This window comes from Homo sapiens, chromosome 1, assembly GCF_000001405.40.
Source record: "Homo sapiens chromosome 1, GRCh38.p14 Primary Assembly".
NCBI lineage: Eukaryota > Metazoa > Chordata > Mammalia > Primates > Hominidae > Homo > Homo sapiens.
In genome coordinates this window covers 179,487,763-179,513,389 of record NC_000001.11, presented here as the reverse complement: position 1 = coordinate 179,513,389, position 25,627 = coordinate 179,487,763, and the positions used below count along the sequence as shown (strand labels likewise).

At 37.3% G+C, this 25,627-nt stretch overlaps 1 protein-coding gene across 22 annotated transcripts in view; it reads right to left on the bottom strand.

Annotated features, from left to right (window-relative positions):
* AXDND1 (axonemal dynein light chain domain containing 1) overlaps positions 1–25,627 on the bottom strand; it is a 189,031-nt gene that overhangs the window by 41,346 nt on the left and 122,058 nt on the right. For 13 of the 22 annotated variants that reach the window (XM_011509168.2, XM_011509169.2, XM_011509167.4 and 10 more), the window contains 3 exons: positions 21,653–21,852; positions 20,439–20,535; positions 3,987–4,094 (listed from right to left, as the gene is read on the bottom strand). In XM_011509168.2, the coding sequence (XP_011507470.1) occupies positions 3,987–4,094; positions 20,439–20,535; positions 21,653–21,852 (405 nt within the window). Of the gene's footprint in view, positions 1–3,986; positions 4,095–6,463; positions 6,558–8,531; positions 8,599–17,318; positions 17,474–20,438; positions 20,536–21,652; positions 21,853–25,627 lie in introns of those variants that run through there. The other 9 variants (XM_011509170.2, XM_011509174.2, XM_011509175.2 and 6 more) reach the window with 7 other exon arrangements.

Here is a 25,627-nt window from a genome sequence, read left to right as displayed (position 1 = left end):
GGTTTAACATACACAAGTCAATAAATGTGATACACCACATAAACAGAATTAAAAACAAAAGTCACATGATCATCTCAATAGATGCAGAAAAAGCATTCAACAAAATCCAGCATCCCTTTATGATTAAAACTCTCAGCAAAATCAGCATACAATGGACATAACTCAATGTATTAAAAGCCATCTATGGCAAATCCACAGCAAACATAATATTGGATGGGGAAAGCTGAAAGCATTCTCTCTGAGAACTGGAATGAGACAAGGATACCTACCCACTCTCACCACTCCTCTTCAACATAGAACTGGAAGTCCCAGCCAGAGCAATCAGACAAGAGAAGGAAATAAAGGACACCCAAATTGGTAAAGAGGAAGTCAAACTGTCATTGTTTCCTGACAATATGATCATTTACCTTGAAAACCCTAAAGACTCTCCAGAAAGCTCCTAGAAATGATAAAAGAATTCAGCAAAGTTTCCGGATACAAGACTAATGTACACAAATCAGTAGCTCTTCTCTACACCAACAGCTACCAAGCGGAGAGTCAAATCAAGAACTCAACCCCTTTACAACAGCTGCAAAAATAATAAAATACTTAGAGATATACCTAACCAAGGAGGCAAAAGACCTCTATAAGGAAAACTACAAACACTGCTGAAAGAAATCATAGACAACATAAACAAATGGAAACACACCCCAAGCTCACGGATGAGTAGAATCAATACTGTGAAAATAGCCATACTGCTAAAAGCAATCTACAAATTCAATGCAATCCCCATCAGAACACCACTATCATTCTTCACATAATTAGAAAAAAAAATTCTAAAATTCATATGAAACCAAAATAGAGCCCGCATAGCCAAAGCAAGACTAAGCATGAAGAACAAATCTGAAGGCATCGCACTACCTGATTTCAAACTATACTATAAGGCCATAGTAACCAAAACAGCATGGTACTGGTATAAAAACAGGCATATAGACCAATGGAACAGAATAGAGAACCCAGAAATAAATCCAAATACTTATAGCCAACTGATCTTCAACAAAGCAAACAGAAACATAAAGTGGGGAAAGGACACCCTTTTAAACAAATGGTGCTGGGATAATTGGCTAGCCACATGTAGGAGAACGAAACTGGATCCTCATCTCTCACCTTATACAAAAATCAACTCAAGATGGATTAAGGACTTAAATCTAAGACCTGAAACTATAAAAATTCTAGACATAACATTGGAAAAACCCTTCTAGACATTGGCTTAGGCAAAGATTTCATGACCAAGAACCCAAAAGCAAATGCAATAAAACAAAGATAAATAGCTGGGGCTTAATTAAACTAAAGAGCTTTTGCACAGCAAAAGGAACAGTCAGCAGAGTAAACAGACAACGCACAGAGTGGGAGAAAATCTTCACAATCTTTACATCTGACAAAGGACTAATATCCAGAATCTAAAACAAACTCCAACAAATCAGCAAGAAATGAAACAAACAATCACATCAAAAAGTGGGCTAAGGACATGAATAGACAATTATCAAAAGAAGAGACACAAATGGCCAACAAATATATGAAAAAAAGCTCAGCCTCACTAATGATCAGGGAAATGCAAATCAAAACGACAATGCAATACCACCCTACTCCTGCAAGAATGGCCATAATCAAAAAATCAAGAAACGGTAGATGTTGCCATGAATGCGGTCATCAAGGAACACTTCTACACTGCTGGAGGGAATGTAAACTAGTAGAGCCACTATGGAAAACAGTGTGGAGATTCCTTAAAGAACTAAAAGTAGAATTACCATTTGATCCAGCAATCTCATTACTGGGTATCTACCCAGAGGAAAAGAAGTCATTATAGGAAAAAGATGCTTGCACACGCATGTTTATAGCAGCACAATTCACAATTGCAAAATCATGGAACCAACCCAAATGCCCATCAATCAACAAGTGGATAAAAATCTGTGGTGTATATACATATACACACACACACACACACACACACACACACCCCATATACCATATACTATGTATATATTATACCATATATATGTGGTAGTGTGTGTATATATATATAAAATCATATTATGTATATGATTGGAATATATATATATATACACACACTACCATATTATATATGTATATATATGATGGAATGCTACTCAGCCATGAAGAGGAATGAATTAACAGCATTTTCAGTGACCTGGATGAGACTGGAGAAACTTTTTTTTTTTGTGGGGGACAGAGTCTCACTCTGTCGCCCAGGCTGGAATGCAGTGGCGTGATCTCGGCTCACTGCAGCCTCCACCTCCTGGGTTCAAGCGATTCTCCTGCCTCAGCCTCCTGAGTAGCTGGGACTACAGGAGACTCTTATTGTAAGTGAAGTAGCTCAAGAATGGAAAACGAAACACCATATGTTCTCACTGATGTGTGGGAGCTAAGCTATGAGGATGCAAAGGCATAAGAATGATACAATGGACTTTGGGGATTTGGGGGGAAGGGTGGGAGGGGGGCAAGGGATAAAAGACTACAAATAGGGTGCAGTGTATACTACTCGAGTGATGGGTGCACCAAAATCTCAGAAATCACCACTAAAGAACTTACTCATGTAACCAAACACCACCTGTACCCCAGTAACCTATGGAAAAATAAAAAATAAAAGACTTGTCAGATTCATGCAAGGTTAAATTCAATTGCCTTTAAATTCCCTTCTGCTCTCACGTCTCTGATTCTGTACAGTTCCTTGATTTTTTCCTAGATCTGATACACCAAGATCATGTCGGTGGTATTTCATTAAGTTTCTCAAAGTATACTATAATTTACAATTTATAATGTTGATAAAATCATTCAGTGGTTATTTCACAATAATTCTTGCCAAGATCTAGACAGCACATTTGTTAAAGGTGAATAATTTAGAAAGATGATATTTCTTCAGTGTTTAAATGTAAAAAAAAAGTTTCATAAATGTGTAGATAGAACCTTCCCCTTCTTTCTCAGACCCAAGACACTGACATATAGGCCATCAGATCATACCTGTATAGTATGACTCTGATAACAATGGGAGCTTCTTCAGAATTTACTGGAGGAGAACGCCTTCAAAGAGGCTGAAATACAAACAAGAGTTGAGTTTGTGATGGCACATGATAGTCACTGATTTGAGATTCTCGGTAAGCAGGTGGCAATGAAAACCACAGGAAACACAGTAATAGGTAGTGTGTACAAATGAGAAGTGAAAGCAAGCCAAGGACAGAATATCAACATTTAAGAGGCAGAAAAGGGTGAAACTCTAAAACAAGGGTGAAATAAAGAAGTAGGAGAAAAACCAGGACATTGTAAAAGGAGTGAATGGTTAAGAGAGCCAAATGCTACACAGAAGCCAGGTTAAATACAAAATTGAAGATACTTGGATTTGGCAATAAGGAATCACTGGTGACCTTATAGTAGTTCTAGAGTTTTAAACAAATTGATTATGATGGAATGGAAAGAGAGAAAGAAGTAGCAGAGAGACAAGGTCAAGGGACATCCTTCTTAGGATGGGAGAAATGACCATGTTTTAGATTGCTTTTAGATTGATAAAATGGAACAATTAGAGAAGATATTAAAGAGGCAAAACAGAGAAGACATTGGACATGGGATTAAGTGCTCGAAGGAAGAAATAACCTTAAATGGAAAGACTGAGACTGGAGGGGAGGGAAAAGGGTGAGCACAGAAGCAGATGAACCTGAGGATATGCCTCAGGAAGTGGCAGGGAGCTTCTACCTGAAACCCATTCTTTCCTTTATAAAATCACCTGCTAAAAACATGACGCAAAATGCTGAGTGGATGATTCTATTCCTTAGAGGGAAGAAGAGCTGTGAAAGATCTTGATCAGAACCAAAATTCTCATATGTTAGGGTAAATGAACAAGGATTCAGAACATTGATTGGAAAAAGCTGTGAACCTTCTGTACTGAAATACAGGAATAATCTGAATAATGACCAACGCTAACATGTGGCAAATACCTCTTCAAGTAGCCGCTCTATTTCTTCATATGTCAATAATGTAATTTTTCTGCCTTTGATATTAGAAAGGAGGCAAGAGCATGTGTTGATCCATTCATAACATTCTTTCTGAGAAGAGATAAAAGATTACAAGCAGAAAAACCAGCTCATTTATTCACTCACCGCTATTGAGGAACTGATAAATACAATTCCTCTAAACATAACTATATTCAATTAACTTTATATCAGTTCAGTTCAAAGAGTTGTGCAGTGGTGACTGGCTATTAACATACACCTAAATCATATTATCTCTTATTGACACGGTGTGGGATCTGGGTTGTAATGGGACAGGGAGTAGTGAAGTGCCGTAAAAACAGATACAAAAAGATTGTTTTATTTACTAATGTCTAAATGGCCTCCTAATAAATTTTATGCAACTGACCAGGTCAACTGTGATTGCATAATAACAACAGAAGTAGCAAACACCTACCTTGTACTTAATTATATGCCAGACTCTGTTCTAAGCATTATGCATATATTAACTCATTTGATCCTCAGTATGAGACATTAACTATTATTATCCTCATTTTTTAAGATGAGGAAACTGAGAAATTGAGTAGTTAAATGTCTTGCTCAAGGTCACAAAAATAGTTAAGTATGATGCTTGGATTCTAATCTATGTGGTCTGTGCTTAACCACTAAAAAAAAAAATCCCTCTACTGCTAATAAAGTGAATGGATCAAGATTTGAGACACTTTTGGAAAAGGTGCTCACCTTTTATCTATTGAGATATGGGAAAGGTCTATAGCAGGTTTTAATCCCCTAAGGTAAATAGTTAAACTGTATTTACCAAGATCTCCTAACAGTTAAGAGCTGGTTTCAACGTTTAAAAGGTACATTATTCCTTATTAGTTAATAAAAGCCCTGAGAACTAGGAAACGTTGTCCTCTCTGGGAACAGAGATCTGGTCACTCTAGCCAAAAAACGGCAGCATGTGGTGAAATGACCCACTGTAGGCTCCTGAAATCAACCACAATGAGCAGTAATATACCTTATATTTCTTTCATTATTAGCCTTTTTTTTTTTTTTGAGACAGGGTCTTGCTCTGTTGCCCAGGCTAGAGTGCAGTGGCATCATCATAGCTCACTGCAGCCTCGACCCACTAAGCTCAAGTGATCCTCCCACCTCAGCCTCCCAAGTAGCTGGGACCACAGGTGTGCACCACCATACCTGGCTAATTTTTTTACTTTTTCTTGCCCAGGCTGGGCTTGTACTCCTGGACTTAAGCAATTCAGCCTCCCAAAATGCTGGGATTACAGGCATGAGCCACTGTACCTGGCCCAGATTTCTTTTAAATTGTGTAATTATTATGAAACATCAGAGCCAAAAATTTTAGAAATCAAATCTAAATCCATATGTTGTAGATAAAGAAACTGAAGCCTATAGTGGTAAAGTAAGTTTACTACAGCTTTGTTAATGTCACTGATGGTTAAATTCTGGATTCAGAGGGTTAGAATGGTATCTTATTGCATATCAGGAAGAAGAGTGGACAAGGCAGATGAAGGTGTTGGGTTTTAGTCCTAACTTCACCTAATTAGTTGAGAGTTCTTGAGTAAATGCCTAATAGTCCTTATCTTTTTTTTTTTAATGAAGCTGTTTGTTTACTCTAAGTGATCCATATGCAGTGGTGACCTGGTAAATGTTTAACAACCATTTCTGAGGGAGTTGGGGGAAGCCCTGATTTGTAGCAATTTCTGATTTCCATGGTGAAAACACTCTCACCAGGCAATTTCAGTGATATTCATCAATTCAGTATGTTATCACAGAATGTGGACTTGAGAAGGCTTGTATATAATTGGTTCTTGTGAGCCAGTGTGAGTTTCTATCACACCACTGCCCCTAAGTATCCTTCCAGATATAAAGCTTGACTAATACATTTTTTAACCTTTTTTTATTGTACCTAGAACAAAAAAATTTCAAAACTAGTCTGTAGTTGAATTTGCACGCTATGAAACAGATCCTGGTCATTTTCTTATAAATGTCTGAGACATTGGAGATACTGTCATAAGACTTCTGATGAGGAAAAAAATTATTAGGAGTCTTTTACAGTTTTACTGTAAACGTTTTACAATAATCTATAGAGTTCAGCAAGTTTTCCTTCAAAACCTTCAATAATACCTTTTTATCAGCTATAGACCAGGATAGCTTGGTTGCTAATTAATACCCATGAATCTCTTTCCATGAATATTCTTAATTGATTCTAATAAAGACTTCTGGTGTGAAGTAAAAGGACTAAAATTCATGTTTGGAGTGAAGGAGTATTTAAGAAGCAAGTGATAGTCCTAAATGTTAAGCCTATTGTAGCAGGAGAAACAGAAGGCCACAGGAGAGTCTTTTATAGGGTACCAGCAGTAAGACACTGGCTATAAATGGAGCTATTAAGAATCCATGATCCACAGATCCCCCCATAAGGAAGGAAAGCTGGGGCTTGAATTTACCTGCTAAAACATCTTGAGAGTAAGATTCCTACTACCACCATCTTCAGTCATAGTCCTTTTGGAGGACCAAATCCTGGAACCGGCAGTGCTATCTCTGGTGACATAAAGAAAGCCTATTGTGGTCCAAGGTGGATGGCAGACTACACAGGGCAGAGATGAGACCAAATGGCATAGAGGAAGTTTTGTTTTGTTTTTTTGACACAGAGTCTTACTCTGTCGCCCAGGCTAGAGTGCAGTGGTGCAATCTCGGCTCACTGCAACCTCCGCCTCCTAGGCTCAAATGATCCTCCTACCTTAGCCTCCTGAGTAGCTGAGACTACAGGCATGCCACCATGCCCGGCTAATTTTTGAATTTTCAGTAGAAACGGGGCTTCACTATGTTGGCCAGGCTGGTCTCGAACTGCTGACCTCAAGTGATCCACTTGCCTCAGCCTCGCAAAGTCTGGGATTACAGGTGTGAGCTACTGTGCACAGCCGGCATAGAGGAAGTTAATTGTAGCTGGAAGTCAAGTTTGAAGAGCGCCAGCTAGAGGTCCTCATTTCCATTATGGTAGGTATTTATTTGGTATATTTCCCTCCCATATATTCTCAGCACTGTCAGGTGCTGGTCAATGTGTGTCTTTTTTGTCAGTCTTGGCCTGCTGAAGGATATCTCAGAGGCCCTTCCCAGTAATCTGCCATTTGCTCAGATTATGACTATTCTTCAGTGTATCAGTGACTCTAATTCTAGGTCCTTGGAACAGTAGAGATAGTCAACCTAAAGCACTTGAAAAAAAAAATCCATCTAGCTTATCTGGCCTGGCTAAGTTTCCAGGCTTTCAGTAGCTGTTCTAGGCTGCAGTAGTTCTTGTATACTCTTACTGGATGCCAGGACTCTGATATAGTGCCTCCAAGTCTCACATGAAGCCTTATAACAAGGAATTCTCATCTCCAAGTGGAGTGGTTGCTATACAATGACATCAGTTTCTGTCTGAAATAGGCACAGGAGCAAGGATTCTCAGAACTGAGTCCTCCTAAAAAATGGCCTCCCGCTGTATGAGGTCAGACTGGATCAAGCTATGCCAGGATCAGGTGGATGGTAAATAATTAGCCCCTGGACTGCCTTAGTACTCTTGGGGAACTAGATAATCCCTATCTGTTTCTGAAGAAGCAATTTACCTAGACTGTTATGGAAAGTGGAGTAAGAATTTATATCAGTAGGGGTGATCAAACTCCAAAAGATGGTTACCTAGGAGATCTTCAATTTTTTTCTGTTTTTCTTTTTTCTTTTTTTTTTTTTGAGATGGAGTTTCGCTCTGTTGCCCAGGCTGGAATGCAGTGGAGCAATCTCGGCTCGGCACAACCTCTACCTCCCGGGTTCAAGGGATTCTCCTGCCTCAACCTCCTGAGTAGCTTGGAGGCACCCACTACCACACCTGGCTAATTTTTGTATTTTTAGTACAGACACAGTTTCACCATGTTGGCCAGGCTGGTCTCAAACTCCCGACCTCAGGTGATCTGCTTGCCTCAGCCTCCCAAAATGCTGGGATTACAGGCATGAACCACTGCACCTGGCCAAGATCCTCAGTTCTGAACCCTGTCCAGCATCATGCAAATCTCCTTGGCTGGAAAGAAGCAGAAACATTAGCTTGTGGGAAACTCTCACTAATGTCATCCAAATATCAGTCTAGTAGGTCAAATGCTAGAATGTGGCACAAGCCACACAGCATTACCATAGAGCTGCATTAGACAAGGCTTCTCTGGAAAACCATCTTCTTTTCACCTTGTGGGATGTGGATGAGGCCATAGAAATCCCAAAGTCTGATGTCATAAAGATTCATGTACCATAGAGGTTTGTCTAGATCAGGAGAAGATGGTAGCAGTCCAGGATGGTGATGAATTTGAAATAAAAATAACCTTCATGAAGATGGAACTAACCATTTTTTTAAAGAGTACCTCAGTATGGTCTGCTAAGCCCCTTACCATAAACTCGCTTGATATACCCTTGAGAGGCCTCAGGCTTAGGGAAAAGGCATATGCATTTTCTTAGCAGAAGAAGGCCTTTGCATAGGCTCAGTTACAGCCTTACCTCTGGTGTGAGAGCAGATTCTCAGCCTCCTCTGATAAGACTCCCCCAGTTTATTTATCTGAAATCACTAGAGAACGGTTAGTGAGTGAGAAAGAGCTTAACAGAGGACCAAAGTAGCACTAGTGGAAAGTGTAGGTCCTCAAAGAGATGGTCAGGTTATGGGCATCCAGTCAGGGGATGGGGTGGCGCAGGGCAATGAATGGCCATAGCACAAGGCTTCCACAAAATCTCCTCATCTGGATAATTTTATAAGTTCCTGAACCCTGAAGTTCCCTCAGGAAGGGCTCCTCATGATAGTGTCCTCCATATGGCTATAGCCTTAACTTTTATAGGGAGATACACCTCAAAACATCTTGAAATCCTCATTCCAGATTACCTTTATCTGAAAACCTGGTCTCGCCACACAGAGCTCTACCCACTTTTAGGTAAATGAGGACTAAGTGTGTCATAGAGTTGGCCAGTGGGTCTCCACCACCATCTGTGGCAGGTCCAGCCTGCCAAAATCAGGATCCCCACCACATCCTGGGGTGGACAGAAGAAGGGGCTATTCGCAGCAGGCCTGAGAAGGCTTGAACACATTTCTAGATGTATAGTGTGGGTTCCAAGAGACTGCTTGGTTCAGAAGTATAACAGCCTGTTGTGAAGAATCCTTCTGAAGCCTTCCCAGAACCAAAATGAGAACTCAGACATTTCATTCAACTCTTAGATGAGAAGTGATATATACCTATAGTAGCATATTTTCAAATAGTAAAATATTATTGCTTCCCTGACATACACCCTAAATGTTCATGGTGTTTTAGTCTTGTAATTTTCTACCACATTAAATTTGCTATTTTAAATTTGGATTTAGCACCTATATATTAATACATAAGATTTATTTTCTCTATACTCATCTGGACTTTTTAAAGGACATTAGTAGCTATGTGAAATAAAATGGGAATACTTTCAGTCGTTATCTATGCTCTTACACTGTTTATATAGCATGGGGATTACCCTACTCCTTGAAAGTCTGCATAATTCTCAGCAAACTATCACAAGGACAAAAAAGCAAACACCGCGTGTTCTCAATCATAGGTGGGAATTGAACAATGAGAACACATGGACACAGGAAGGGGAACATCACACACTCCGGGGACTGTTGTGGGGTGAGGGCAGGGGGGAGGGATGGCATTAGGAAATATACCTAATGCTAAATGACAAGTTAATGGGTGCAGCACACCAACATGGCACATGTGTACATATGTAACAAACCTGCACATTGTGCCCATGTACCCTAAAACTTAAAGTATAATAACAATAAAATTAAAATAAAAATAAAAATTAAAAAAAAGTCTGAAAAAACCTGTCTGAGGAATCCAGGCAAAATTTTTAGCATTTCTAAAAATTAGTGCATCCAATTTTTCACTGAAAATTGGCCAATTTTCTCCTTCAAGGATTAATGATACTATTTTCCTAGAAAAGTCTCCATCTCCTAGAGATTTAAAATGTATTAGCAAGATGTTGTACATAAATTTTATAACATAAAAGTTTTTAAACAGTTTTATAATAGTTATAAAACTGTTCAAAAACTGTGAGATCTGTCATACATACAGAGAGACATAAAATACACATATGCAGTTTAAAGAGAGAATTGCTCCCTACATGCCAGTCCTCATATACCATAATATTCATAATATTTATTCTACTATTTATGGACATTTGAGTTGTTTCCAGTTTGAGGATACTTCTAGAAATAATCTTGGAATATCCTTTTTTTTTTTTTTTACACGGAGTTTTGCTCTTTTTGCCCAGGCTAGAATGCAATGGCACGATCTCACCTCACCGCAACCTCCGCCTCCCGGGTTCAAGTGATTCTCCTGCCTCAGCCTCCTGAGTAGCTGGGATTACAGGCATGCGCCACCACGCCTGGCTAATTTTGTATTTTCAGTAGAGACGGGGTCTCTCCATGTTGGTCAGGCTGGTCTTGATCTCCCAACCTCAGGTGATCCACCCGTCTCAGCCTCCCAAAGTGCTGGGATTACAGGTGTGAGCCACCACGCCTGGCCAGAATGTTCTTATGTATGTCTCTTAGTCTAGAGCACTTGTGTAAGAGCTTATCTAGTATACTGACAGATGAATAGAATTGTTTGTTGCAAAGTGTGTTGCAACTTTAACAGATAATGTCAACTGATTTCCAAAGTGGATGTACAAATTTATATTCTTACCAGCAGTATAGAAGTACCTGTTGCTCCCTCATTCTTGTTAACACTTGTATTGCCAGACTTTGCAATTTCTTTTTTTTTTTTTTTTTTTTTTTAGACAGAGTTTTGCTCTTTTGCCCAGGCTGAAGTGCAGTGGTGCAATCTTGGCTCACCACAAACTTTGCCTCCCGGGTTCAAGCGATTCTCCTGCCTCAGCCTCCCCAGTAGCTGGGACTGCCGGTGCGTGCCACCATGCCGGGCTAATTTTGTATTTTTAGCAGAGACAGAGGTTCACCACGCTGGCCAGGCTGATCTTGAACTCCTGACCACAGGTGATCCGCCCACCTCGGCCTCCCAAAGTGCTGAGATTACAGGCGTAAGCCACCACACTCGGCCTAGACTTTGTAATTTTTGCCAGCTTGTTATGTAAGTAGTGATATTAGTTTGTATTTCCCTGATCACTTATGAAATTGAGCAGCTTTTCATAAGTATGTCAACCATTGGGATTTTCTCTTTGGTGAGGTATACATTCAGGCTTTTTGCCCATTTTTCTATTGGGTTGTGTATTTTTATAATATTGATTCCTAGAAGGTCATTTTCTATTCTGGATACTGGTCCTTTGTCAGTTATAAGTGTTGCAAATACAGTCTCCCATTTTGTGGATTGTTTTTGTTTTAATGGTATTTTCTTGACAAAAATAATTCTTAAATTTAAGGTAATCAAAATTATGAACCTTTTCCCTTTGAGTTAGTGCTTCTTATCTCTTACTTAAAAAAAATTTTCCTACCCCCAAGATCTTAGATATTGTCTTCTAAAAGCTTTATAATTTTGACTTTCACATGTAGGTTTCTAGTCCATTTGGAATTGATTTTTGTGTGAAGTAAAAGTCTCATTTCATCTCTCCTATATAGATAGCCAATATTCCTAGTTTTTGAGTTTTTTTGTTGTTGTTTTGTTTTGTTTTGTTTTAAGACACAGTCTCACTCTGTCGCCCAGGCTGGAATGCAGTGGCGTGATTGGCTCACTGTGACCTCCGCCTTCCCGGTTCAAGCGATTCTCCTGCCTCACCCTCCCCAGTAGCTGGAACTACAGGGGTGCACCACCACACCTGGCTAATTTTTTTGTATTTTTAGTAGAGATGGGGTTTCACTGTATTAGTCAGGATGGTCTCGATCTCCTGACCTCATGATCCACCCGCCTCAGCCTCCCAAAGTGCTGGGATTACAGGCGTGAGCCACTGCACCCAGCCCCCTAGTATTTTTAATTGGAAAGTTCATCATTTCCTCATTAATTCTGTATGCCATGCTTATATAAAAGGCCATAAATTTTTGGTTCTGTTTTTTGATTCCATTGACATAGTTGTCCATCTTTGAACTAACACCATGCTGTTTCAGTTTAGCTTTACAAGAAGTTTAAAATATGGGAGGATGAGTCCTCTCACCTTATTTTCAAAAGTGTGTTAGCTATTCTTGGTTCTTTGAATATCCAAAACAGCTTTTAGAGACAGTTTGTCAAGTTGAAAAAAAAACTGTTGGAAACTTGATTGTGACACCTAGATTAGTGCTGTTTAATAGAACTTTCCATAATAATAGAAATGTTCTATATATGTGTGGTCCAATATGATCCCTGGTAGCAACATGTACTATTAAGCACTTAAAATATGGCTAATATGACTGGAGAGGTGAATTTTTAAATTTAAATTAATTCAGCCAGGCATGGTGGCTCACACCTGTAATCCCAGTACTTTGGGAGGCTGAGACGGGTGGATCACTTGAGACCAGGAGTTCAAGACCAGCCTGGCCAACATGGCAAAACCCTGTCTCTACTAAAAATACAAAAATTAGCCAGGTATGGTGGCCTGTGCCTGTAATCCCGGCTACTCAGGAAGCTGAGGCACTAGAATCTCTTGAACCCGAGAGGCAGAGTTCAAGAGAGCTGACATCGTGCCACTGCACTCCGGCCTGGGCAACAGAGCCAGATTCTGTCTCAAAAAATAAAAATAAATTAATTCAAATGTGAATAGCAATATGTGGCTAGTGGCTACTGTATTGGACAGGATCGCTACATAGCATCCTGAGGAGAATTGACATCTTTACAATATAGAATCTTTCAGTTCATGAACATGGTGTATCTTCCACTTAGGTCTTTTAATGTTTCTCAAATAAAGTTTGAAATATACTCTAGAAAGAAACTGATCAACTTTTATTAGATTTATTCCTAAGTACTTTATAATTTTGAAATTATTATAAATATTACCTTTTTCATGTTTCATAACTACTTAATGCTGGCAGGCAATACACACACACACACACACACACACACACACACACACACACACACATAATGTACCCTGCAATTAATGGCTATATATATATATACATATATAGCCATTAATTTTTTATCAATTGGGTTGTATCCAGTGTACCTATAGATACATTACAGATGTTATATTACGAACTTGCATTCCTAGAACAAAATTAACATGTTCATAATGTGTGTTACCCCTCTCATTTACTGCTGGATTTGATTTGCCTGTATTTTGTTCAGGACTTTTGTATTCCATGTGAGACTGGTCTATAATTTCCCTTTCTTGAACAATCCCTTTTGCGTTTTTGTATAAAAAGTATTCCCTCTTCTTTAGACCCTGAAAGAGTCTGTATAAGAACAGAATTATTTATTTATTAAATGTTTGATAGGGCTTTCTGTTGAAGCTGTCTATACTTAGAGCATCTTTTGGGGGAAGATTTTTGACGAATTCCTTTAATGGTTATAGGACTACTTGGGTTTTTAATTTATTCGCAAGTCTTCTGGGTTATATTTATTTGTCCATTTCATCTAAATTTTCAAATGTTTGTGATAATGTCCTTCATAATCTCTTCCTACTATCTTTCTAATGTCTGAATCATCTGAGTTACTCATTCCTGAAATAATTTTTTGCATCTTTTTGTCTTAATTAATCTTGCCAAAAGCTTCCCAATTTTAGTCTTTTAGCAGACCAATTTTGGGCTCTCTTGATCATCTCCTTTTAGTCAGGTATTCAAAAACATATGATACACCCATTTAAAGTGTATAATTCAATGGTTTTTAGTTATTCACAAAGTTGTGCAACCATCGCTGCAATCTATTCCTAGAATATTTTCATCAGGCCCCAAGAAAGCCTGTACCTGTTAGCAGTTGTTCATTTCCCATTCCTCCCCCTCCTTTACAAGCTCCAGGCAGCCACTAATCTTTCTGTCTCTATAGATTTGCCTATTCTGGGCATTTTACGTGAATAAAATAATACAATATGAGGTCTTTTGAAATATTTTATGTGAATAAATATGTGGTCTTTTGAAACATCACAATATATTACTGACTTCTTTCACTCAACATGTTTTCAAGGTTCTTCCATGTTGTTGCATGTATCAGTACTTCTTTACTGCCAAATAATGTTCTATTATATAAATATACTGCATTTTGTTTATCTAGTCGCAATTGATGGACATTTAGGTTGTTTCCAGTTTTGGTCTATTATTGTTTGCTCTTGTGAATAGCACAGCAGTGAACATGTGAATGCATATGTCTTTTTGGTAGAATGATTTATTTTCTTTTGGTATGTAGACAGTAATGGGATTGCTGTGTTGAACTGTAGCTCTGTTTTAAGTTCTTTGAGAAATCTCCAGACGGCTTTCCACGATGGCTAGACTAATTTACATTCCCAACAACAGTGAATAACAGTTTTCCTTTTTCTCTGCAGCCTCACTAGCATCTGTTGTTTTTTTTTGACTTTTTATAAGCTATTCTGACTGGTGTAAGATGGTATCTCATTGTGGTTTTGATTTGTATTTACTTGATGATTAGTGATGCTGAGAATTTTTTCATATGTTTGTTGGCCACTGTGTATCTTCTTTTGAGAAATATCTGTTCATATCCTTTGCCCATTTTTAAGTGGGTTATTTGGTTTTTGCTTGTTGATTTGTTTGAGTTCCCTATAGATTCTAGATATTAGGCCTTTGTCAGACACATAGTTTGCAAATATCTTCCCCTATTCTGGAGGTTTTCTGTTTTTCCAATGACAGTTTCCTTTCTGTGCAGATGTTCTTTAATTAGGACCCACTTGTCTATTTTTGTTTTTGTTGCTACTGCTTTTGGAGATTTAGCCAAAAATTATTTGCCAAGGTCAATGTCAAGAAGAATATTTTCCAGTCTTGTTTTCCCAGATTTTTATAGTTTGATGTCTTACATTTAAATCTTTAATCCATTTATCCCAGCACCATTTAATGAATAGGGAGTCTTTTCCCCCTTGCTAGTTTTTGTCAGCATTGTTGAAGATCAGATGGTTGGTAGGTGTGAAGCCATATTTCTAAGTTTTCTATTATGTTCCATTAGTCTACATGTCTGTTTTTGTACCAGTACCATGCTGTTTTGTTTACTTTATTATATAGTTTGAAGTAAGGTAGTGTGATGCCTCCAGCTTTGTTCCTTTTGCTCAGGACTGCTTTGGCTATTTGGGCTCTCTTTCAGTTCCATATGAACTTTTAATATTTTTTTCAAATTCTGTGAAGAATGACATTGATAGTTTGATAGGAATAGAACCGAATTTATAAACTGCTTTGGGCAGTATGGCCATTTTTATGATATTGATTCTTCTTATCCATGAGCATGAAATGTTTTTCCATTAATTTGTGTCATCTCTGATTTCTTTCAGCAGTGTTTTGTAGTTCTCCTTGTAGACGCCTTTCACCTCCTTGGCTAGATGTATTCCTAGGTATTTGATTTTCTTGTGGCTATTGTAAGTGGAATTGTATTCTCGACTTCACTCTCAGCCTGGACATTATTGGTGTATAGAAATGCTATTGCTTTTTGTATATTGACTTAGTATCCTAAACTTTACTAAAGTTGTTTATCAATTCTAGGAGCCTTTTGGCAGAGTCTTTAAGATTTTCTAGGTATAGAATCCTATCATCAGCAAAGACAGATAGCTTGACTTCTTCTTTTCCTGTTTGGAGGCCTTTTATTTCTTTCTCTTGCCTAACTGCTCTGGCTAGCACTTCCAGAGCTATGTTGAATAGGAATAGTAAGACTGGGCATCCTTGTCTTGTTCCAGTTCTCAAGGGGAATGGTTCAAGCTTTTGCCCTGAATTCAGTACGATGTTGGCTATCGGTTTGTCATAGATGGCTCTTATTATTTTGAGGTATATTCCTTCAATGTCTAGTCTGTTGAGGGTTTTTATCATGAAAGGATATTGGATTTTATTGAAAGCTTTTTCTGGGTCTATTGAGATGCAGTGTTAAGAGAGTAATTTCATAATGATAGAGTCAATTCACTCTAAATGTATTTGCACCTAATAACATAGCTTCAAAATACATGAAGCAAAAACTGATAGAACTCCAAGAAAATAAACAAAACATAATTATAGTCAAGGTTTCAATACTCCTCTCTGAATAACTGATGGATCAAGTAGACAGAAAATCAACAAGGATATAGGACACTTAAATAAGACTATCAACCAATTTGATTTGAACTCCATCAATAACAGAATATTCTTCTCAATTGTACATGGAACAGTTACCAAGACAGATAATGTTCTAGGTTCTCAAACAAGTCTCAATACATTGGAAAGGATGTAAGTGGTACAAAATATGTTCTCTGACTACAATGAAATCATATTACAAATCAATAGCAGAAGAGCTCTGGAAAATACTCAAATATTTGGGAACTAAATATACTTCTAAATAACCCATGGATGAACGAAGAATGCAAAATGGATATTAAAATGTATTTTAAATGGAATTAAAATGAAAACACAACATATCAAAATCTGTGAGATGCAGCTAAAACAGAAAGTTTGTACTACTAAATGCCTACGGGGGTATGGGGGAGGAGGTAAAAAGGTCTCAAATCAATAATCTCAGCTACACTTTAAGAAACCAGAAAATGAAGAGCAAATTAAACCCAGAATAAGTAAGAAAATATAAACAATAAAGACTAGACTGGAAATTAAGGACGTAGAAAACAGAAAAATTGTGGAGAAAAATCAATGAAAGCAAAATCTGGTTCTTTGAGATCAAGAAAATTGGACAATCTTTGTGTAGATTCATGAAAACAAAAAGAGAGAGGATTCAAAATTTCCATAACAGAATGAGACAGTGGACATCCTACAATTATTAAAAGAATAATAAGGGAATATTGTGAGCAATTGCATGACAATAAACTAGACAACTTAGATGAAATCGCAAATTCCTTACAAGTCCAAAGCTCACTCAAGAAAAGGAAATAATAGCTCTATATGTGATAAATGTATTTAAACTTGTTAAAGAAATTAGATAGCTCTATATTTGTTAGTTAAAAACTTTCCCACAATGCCCAGATGCTTCACTGGTGAATTCTACCAAACATTTATGGAAGAAATAAACAATTCTACACATATTATTTCTAAAACAGAAGAGTAAGAAACACTTCTTAACTCATTTTAAAAGGCCAGCATTACCCTGATATCAAAACCAAACAAAGATATTACAAAACAAAACTATTTAATAAATATCCCTTATGAACATCAGTGCAAAAATTCTAAACAATCAATCAATTGAATTTGCAACATATAAGAGGGACAATACATCACGATCAAGTGGAGTTTATTCCAGGAATACAATACTGGTTTAACATTCAATTTAAAAATCAATAAATGTAATTCACCATATTAACGCACTAAAAAAGACAACTCACGAGCATCTCAATAGATGCAGCGAAAGGATTTGATAACATCCAACATCCATTACTGACTAAAAAAAAAAAAAAAAAAGAATTTTCAGCAAACATGAAATAAAGAAGAATTTCCTCAATCTAATAAAGGGTATCTATAAAAAAAACCTATAGCTAGCATTATACTTAAAGATGACCAATTAATACTTTTTCCCTAAGATGGACCAAGGCAAGGATATCTGCTCTCATTACTTTTTCAACCTAGTATTATACAGTCTTATTAGTGCAATAAGGCAAGAAAAAGAAAAAATATATACAGATTGGAAAGGAAGAAATAAAACTGTCCCTATCTGCAGATAACATGACTGCATGACTGTGTATTAAAAATCCCAAAGAATCTGAAAAAAACAAAATAAAAAAAATTCTTAGAAGGAATAAGTGAATTCAGCAAGGTCACAGGATATGAGATTAATGTACTAAAACCCCATTGTAATTCTATATATTAGCAATGAATAATCAGAAATTGTAATTATAAAATAATACCATGTATAGTAGCACCAAAATATGAAATACTTAGGGATAAATCTCACAAACTATATGTAAGATCTATACACTGAAAACTATAAAACTTTGCTTAAAGAAATAAAGACAAACAAATGAAGAGATAGACCATGTTCACAGATTTAAAGACTCCATATTGTTAAGATATCAATTCTCCACAAACTGATCAATAGATATAATATCAATTAAAATCTCAGCAAGGTTTCTTGAGGAAATTGATAGGCTAATTATAAAATATGGAAAGCAAAGGACCTAGAATAGCCTGATCTTGAAAAAAAACAAATTTGGAGGATTTATATTACCTGATTTTAAAACTTATTACAAAACAATAGTAATGAAGGCAGTTTGGAGACGGTGACAATGTTGACAAATGGATCAACAGAACACAACAGAATGTCCAGAATAATACCAAGACATATATGGTTAAAAGGTTTTCAATCAAGATACAAAGGCATCTCAATAGAGAAAGTACAGCCTTTTCAGCAAATGGTGCTAAAACAATTGGATATCCAAATGCCACAAAATGAACTTGAATCCAACCCCAGCACCATATTTTTAAAAGTTAACTCAAAATGGGTCATAGACTTGAATATAATGCCTAAAACTCTAAAACTTCTAGAAGAAAACATAGGAGAAAATCTTTATGATGTTGTTATGCAAAAATTTCTTTAGATAGAATACCAAAAGCAAGGTCTATAAAAGAAAAAAAATCAGAGATTGAACTTCATCAAAATTAAGAACTTCTCTCTTTGAAAGACACTATAACTGGGCATGAGGTTCATGTCTGTAATCCTGGCTACTCTGGAGACTGAGGTGGGAAGATCACTTGAGCTCAGGAGTTCAAGTCCAGCCTACGCAACATAGTAAAATACTATCTTAGGAAAAAAAAAAAAAGACAAATCACAGACTGAGAGAAGATATTTTAAAATCATGTATCTGATAAAAGACTTGGTATCGAGAAAAAAAACAGCTGTCTAAACTCAATAATAAGGAAACAAACAAATCAATACTAAACGGGTCAAAGATTTGAACAGACATTACACCACAGAAAATACATGGATTACAAATACACACATGAAAAGAAGTTCAACATCATTGGTCATTAAGAAAATGCAAATTAAAACCACAATAACATCCCACTACTCACTTATTAGAATGTATAATTTTAAAAGACTGACTATATCAGCCAGGCGCAGTGGCTCACACCTGTAATCCCAGCACTTTGGGAGGCTGAGGAGGGCGGATCACTTGAGGTCAGGAGTTTGAGACCAGCCTGGTCAACACGGTGAAACCCCATCTCCACTAAAAATACAAAAATTAGCCCGGCATAGTGGTGCACGCCTGTAGTCCCAGGTATTCAGGAGGCTTAGGAAGCAGAATTGCTTGAACCCAGGAAGCAGAGGTTGCAGTGAGCCAAGATCATGCCACTGCACTCCAGCCTGGGCAACAGAGCGAGACTCCATCTCAAAAAAAATTTTAAAAAGACTGACTATATCAAGTGTCAGTGAGTATGTAAAGCAACTGGAACTCTCAGATACTGCTGGCAAGAGTGTAAAAATGGTTTAACCACCTTTTAAGAAATTGATATATCATATTTGTACATATTTTGGAGTACATGTGATATCTTGATGCATGTGTACAATGTGTAAAGATCAAAGCAGGGTAACAGGGGTATCCATCACCTCAAACATTTATCTTTTCTTTATGTTGGAGATAGCCAATTCTTCTCTTCTAGCTATTTTGAAATATACAGCGAATTATTGTTAACTATAATTTCCCTAATGTACTAATGAATACTAGAGCTTATTCCTTCTACCTAACTGCACTTTTGTACCCATTAGCCACTTTGGAAGGCAGTTTGACCGTTTCTTTAAAAGTTAAACACACACATTCCATGTGACTCAGCCATTCCATTCCTAGATATCAACCCAAGAGAAGTGAAAGTATACATCCATTCAAAGACTTACATATGAATATGCACTGAAGTTATCTAGTAATAATTTAAAACTGGAAACAATTCAAATGCATAACAACAGAGACTAAATAAATTGTGTCTATCCATACAATGAAATATTACTCAGCACTAAAAAGCATAAGTGGTTGATAAAAGCAACAATATGTGTGAATCTCTAAGTAATCATGCTTAGTGAAATAAGTCAGAGAAAAAAAAGTATATTCTTTATAATTCCATTTTTATAAATTCTAGAAAATAAAAAAAATCTTTGGTGTTAGTAGATCAGACATTGGTGACAAGATGAGGCTGGAAGGATAAATAAAAGAGGAGTACAAGGAAACTCTGGGTGTGTTTGATATGTTCCCTATTTTTCATTTTTATTAATTGTTTTTATGAGTATATGCATATTTTAGAACTTATAAGATTGTATTCTTTAAATATGTGAGCTTGTTGTACATCAATTGAACTTCAAAAATCTGATAAAAACAAACAAAACAAAAACAAAACTAAGGGGAAGACAGAGTTATTACCTTCAACTTATCCACCTCATAAAGGTCTTCAGTAGCATTTTTGTGTGAGTTAGTGGATTTACTCAGAGCCATTGCTGTTACCATCCCTTTGCAACAACTGCAAAAAGGGGGAAAAAAAGAAAAAGAAAAAGAGCAAATACACACTCAGCATAACCTATTTATTGCTGGTTCTTCTTCTAAGTGTTTAAAATTTTAAAAATCCAGACAAAGTGGAAGTTCACCATAATAATTCAGCTACTGACTCACCAAGGAGAATAATTTGTCTCCTCAATTTCTTACCCTTGTCCTCCTTCTCCCTTCCATCCCTCTTATTCTTGACCCTTAGTAATACTGAATTGAAATGAAGGGAAAATTTGCTTAGAATGCAAAAGCTACTTCCTGAATTTAAAGTAATGATAGCATCAAGCTTGCATCTCAGTTAATAGATTACAATTTTCCAGACTTCATCTTTATTCAGTGGAAATCTTCTAGCTTTTCAGATATAAGGGTTTGTGGGTTGTTGTTTTTTTTTTTCTTCCATTTTGTAAAAAGAAGTTTTGGTTGGCATTTAGTGAAGCACATAAAAGTATACATTCAGGGCTGGGCATGGTGGCTCATGGCTGTAATTCCAGGACTTTGGGAGGCCAAGGTGGGCAGATCACTTGAGATCAGGAGTTCGAGACCAGCCTGGCCAACATGGCAAAACTCTACCTCTACTAAAAATACAAAAATTACCCAGGCATCGTGGTGCATGCCTGTAAATCCCAGCTACTCAGGAGGCTGAGGCACAAGAATCTCTTGAGCCTGGGAGGTGGAGGCTGCAGTGAGCCGAGATCACGCTACTACATTCTAGCCTCGGTGACAGAAGAAAACTCTGTCTAAAAAAATACATGACGGTACACAAGAAACTACAATATTCTTCTTAAATCCACTCCCTCACCAGTATGTGTAAAAGTGTAAGATGTGTCTTATTTATGCAAGAAAGTGAGTCCTTTTTTCCTAATTCTTACTCCCACATACACACACTTCTCATCCTGCCCGTGCCAACAGTTTTCAAAAGAAAAACCAAAATCTCATATTATAACTGCTCACAGTGTTAAAGCTAGTTGAAAAACTGAACTAGTATTTCTTTCAAGGTTTTAAAATAACTCCTATTGCTACTACTTCACTGTCTCTTCTCTGTTATATGCGACATTCAATTCTTCAAAAGGGCAACAATAAAATAACCGCTTCACCTGCTCAAATAGCTGGAGTATTGGTACAACTTCCTTGTCAGTTCAATCGCATCTAGCTCCAATCGCGCAACTCCTATATCATGTTTCTCAGCACTTTCCTCCTCCAACTTTAGGAGACAGTCTTGGTCAGTAAAGTTGGGTATCATTAAAATCAGCAAGTTTACCATCCACTGGATCATAGATATATGTAACTCATCCATCTGTTAAAAAATGAGTATAATACAAATGACCCACTTTAAATAAATCAAACAGTAAAAATCACACCAAATTTTAAAATAGAAATGATCGTGCCTGTGTCCAACTTTCAACATTATAATTCTTAATGAAATCAAGTCATCAGCTAGCATGACCCTATTTTCTTTTGCTCACTACATGACACTAAGCTACTCTCTTCTTTTTATTGATATCTATTTATTTAATTTTTTTGAAACGGGGTGTCACTCTGTTGCCCAGGCTGGAGTGCAGAGGCATAATCATAGCTCACTGCAACCTTGACCTCCCCAGGCTCAGGTGATCCATCCATCTTAACCTCCTGAGTAGCTGGGACCACCATGCCTGGCTAAGTTTTGTGTTTTTTGTAGAAATGGGCTTTCACCATGTTGCCCAGGCCGAACTTGAACTGCTGGGATGAAGCAATCTGCCCACCTCAGCCTCCCAAAGTGCTAGGATTACAGGCGTGAACCACACGCCCAGCCACTGATCTCTTCTTTAGCCTGGCCATAGATAATAACCTGTGAGAACCTACAATTCTCAAATTGCACATCAAGGCATTCCAGGGCTCCACAGCAAACTCACAAGGATGCCATAGGATTTTAAATTGAGGGAAATAACAGTAATATGTAACATCTACCAGACACAGCATGAACTTAACACAATTCACAGTTTTCAACTTTAGATGCCCTATATTAATTTTGATGACATCATATCTTTTTGAAACTGGTTTGATTGGTGGTTGTGTGATAAAAAAAAAAAAAACAAGTACTGTGTGAAAATTAACATGGAACAGGAAATGAAGGTGGTAACGTCCAATCTGATTCCAAGGTCAGAGAAGCTGTACCATGCCAAAAGTACATGCCTTACATTGGTAAGTGGTATTGATTAAATGAGAATAAAATAAAAGGTTTTTTCTTTCAATGTATGTGTAGTACTTTTCCAAATGGTTAATAAATTGTTAGGACATTAAATATTTAGTAAGCGGTTTGAACCTACCTACTTAATAAACTTAACTGTGAGGTATTTCTTTTGGCTTAGGAGTGTGAAAATATTGAAACCCAAAGGGCACTGTGAATAGAGAAAGTTTGAGAACCTCTGCATGACAGTATTTGCTGAGGCTAGGTCCCAGAAATAAAATGCAGAAAACCTGTATGCAAAATTCAGACACACCATACTTTTCAAATACCCTACTCCCTTTCGCTGTTTGGTTAGTTCTGGAGTATTTCTCTAGGCTTAAACATGATCTACTCTGAGAAGACTTACCAGTTTCCACTGGCTCTAATTTGCTCCCTTTCCCATGTTTTTACAGTACTTTGTATATATCTCTGTTATAGTCATTTGCACATCTATCTCCTCAATTAACCTGTCTGTAAGACATGAGCCATCAACTTATCCCTGCATACCACACAGTACTTATCAGGGAGTAAGTTCTTAGTAAATGTTTCTTGAATGAATGAATAAAAATAAAATGTAGTAGCCTAGGCCGGGCGCGGTGGCTCACGCCTGTAATCTCAGCACTTTGGGAGACCGAGGCAGGTGGATCACGAGGTCAGGAAATCGAGACCATCCTGCCTAACATAGTGAAACCCAGTCTCTACTAAAAATACAAAAAATTAGTCGGGCGGGGTGGTGGGCGCCTATAGTCCCAGCTACTCGGAGGCTGAGGCAGGAGAATGGCTTGAACCCGGGAGGCGGAGCTTGCAGTGAGCCGAGACGGTTCCACTGCACTCCAGCCTGGGCGACAGAGCGAGACTCCGTCTCAAAAAAAAAAAAAAAAAAAAAAGAAAAGTAGTAGCCTATCCAATAAAAACCCAAACTTCCTGCTTCTTGATTCAGACAGGAAGGTTGTTAATGACCTAAAGCAACGTTGATTAATGTATTTGACACCTGAATTTATGTATCAGGAAAAGGGGCAACCTTTCCTGAGAAAGAGTTAAAAAGGCAAGTCTTTTTCACAAGAAAAAGATACTACTTCCTTACATATTCTACTAGTTATGTCCCTGCTGCTTCTTTGTGAAAATACATAAATTCCTAACTATTCTTTCATATACCAATGGCCTAGATTATACTATCATTGAAACAACTCATTTTTGCTTACATAAAATATTAATCAATCCTTGGACTATCCTTAGGAAATAAGCACAAATAGATGTTATTATCTTAATTTAAAAGTTATATTAGAGAGATTAAATGGTAGAATCAAGGTCAAATAATAAATCATAGGTGAATTTAAAATTAAAATAAATTAAAAACAAAGAATATCTTTTACTTTCCTAAAGATATGTAATTCTTTTTAATGAGATGGAAAGTGAATATAATTTTTGTGCTAAAATATAGATTTACTGTGATTCTTATATAAAATTCTTAAAAGACATTTTAAGATGAATTGACTGCTTTTCTTTTGTGAAAAGACTTCTTCCAAATTTACTAATCTTTTCAGGGATAACAAGTGAGTAATTAGCCACTTCTTAGCTGATATTAAGAAATAAATGTGCCAGGTGTGGTAGCTCACACCTGTAATCCCAGCACTTTGGGAGGCCGAGACAGGTGGATCATGAGGTCAGGAGTTCAAGACCAGCCTGGCCAAGATGGTGAAACCTGGTCTCTACTAAAAATACAAAAATTGGCCTGGTGTGGTGGCACGCGCCTGTAATTCCAGCTACTTGGGAGGCTGAGGCAGGAGAATCACTTGAATCCAGGAGGCAGAGGTTGCAGTGAGCTGAGAACGTGCCACTGCAGTCCAGCCTGGGTGACAGAGCGAGACTCCATTTCAAAAAAAAAAGAAAGAGAGAGAGAGAAAGAAAGAGAGAGAGAGACAGAGAGAGGAAAGAAAGAAAGAAAGAAAGAAAGAAAGAAAGAAAGAAAGAAAGAAAGAAAGAAAGAAAGAAAGGAGAGAGAGAGAGAGAAAGAAAGAAAGAAAAAGAAAGAAAGAAAGAGAGAGAGAAAGAAAGATAGATCAGGCCAGGTATGGTGGCTCATGCCTGTAATCCCAGCACTTTGGGAGGCCAAGGTGGGAGGATTGCCTGAGCTCAAGAGTTCAAGACCAGCCTGGGCAATTTGGTGAAACCCCATCTCTATAAAAACCAACCAAACAAACAAACAAAAAAAACCACACACATACTTAATTTGTCCCTTTCAAATATATGTGAAATTTAACAATGAGCAAAAGAAACTTATACTATGGAGAGGTTGTTTTGAAAATGAATAGGAGGAAATATTTCCATCTTGGTGTGAGTTTGTTGCTAAAAATGAAACACAGCTCACCTTTTAAAAGTCTAAAATCTACATATATATAAAATCTGGAAGTATGTTTCTAATCTTTTTAAAAATCTTAGAAATAAAGCATTTCAATTGGCTGGGAACACTTTGTTAAAATATAGGAATGCTACACTGTCTAATGTTTTAGACAACTGTAAGAACAACTGATTGACATTATGATAGATGGAAAAAATTACTAGTTAATTTAAAAAAAACCTTTGCATAACTGATTGACGGAATTGAAATTTCTCTTTTTTTTTTTTTTTTTTTTGAGACATGGTCTCACTCTGTTTCACAGGCTGGAGTGCAGTGGCACAATCATAGTTTAGTGCATCCTTGACCTCCCAGGCACAAGAGATCCTCTCACCTCAGCCTCCCAAGTAGTTGGGACTATAGGTGTGTGCCACCATGCCCGGCTAATTGTTTTATTTTTTGTAGAGATGAGTTCTCACTGTGTTGACCAGGTTGGTCTTAAATTCCTGGGCTTAAAGCAATCCTCCCACC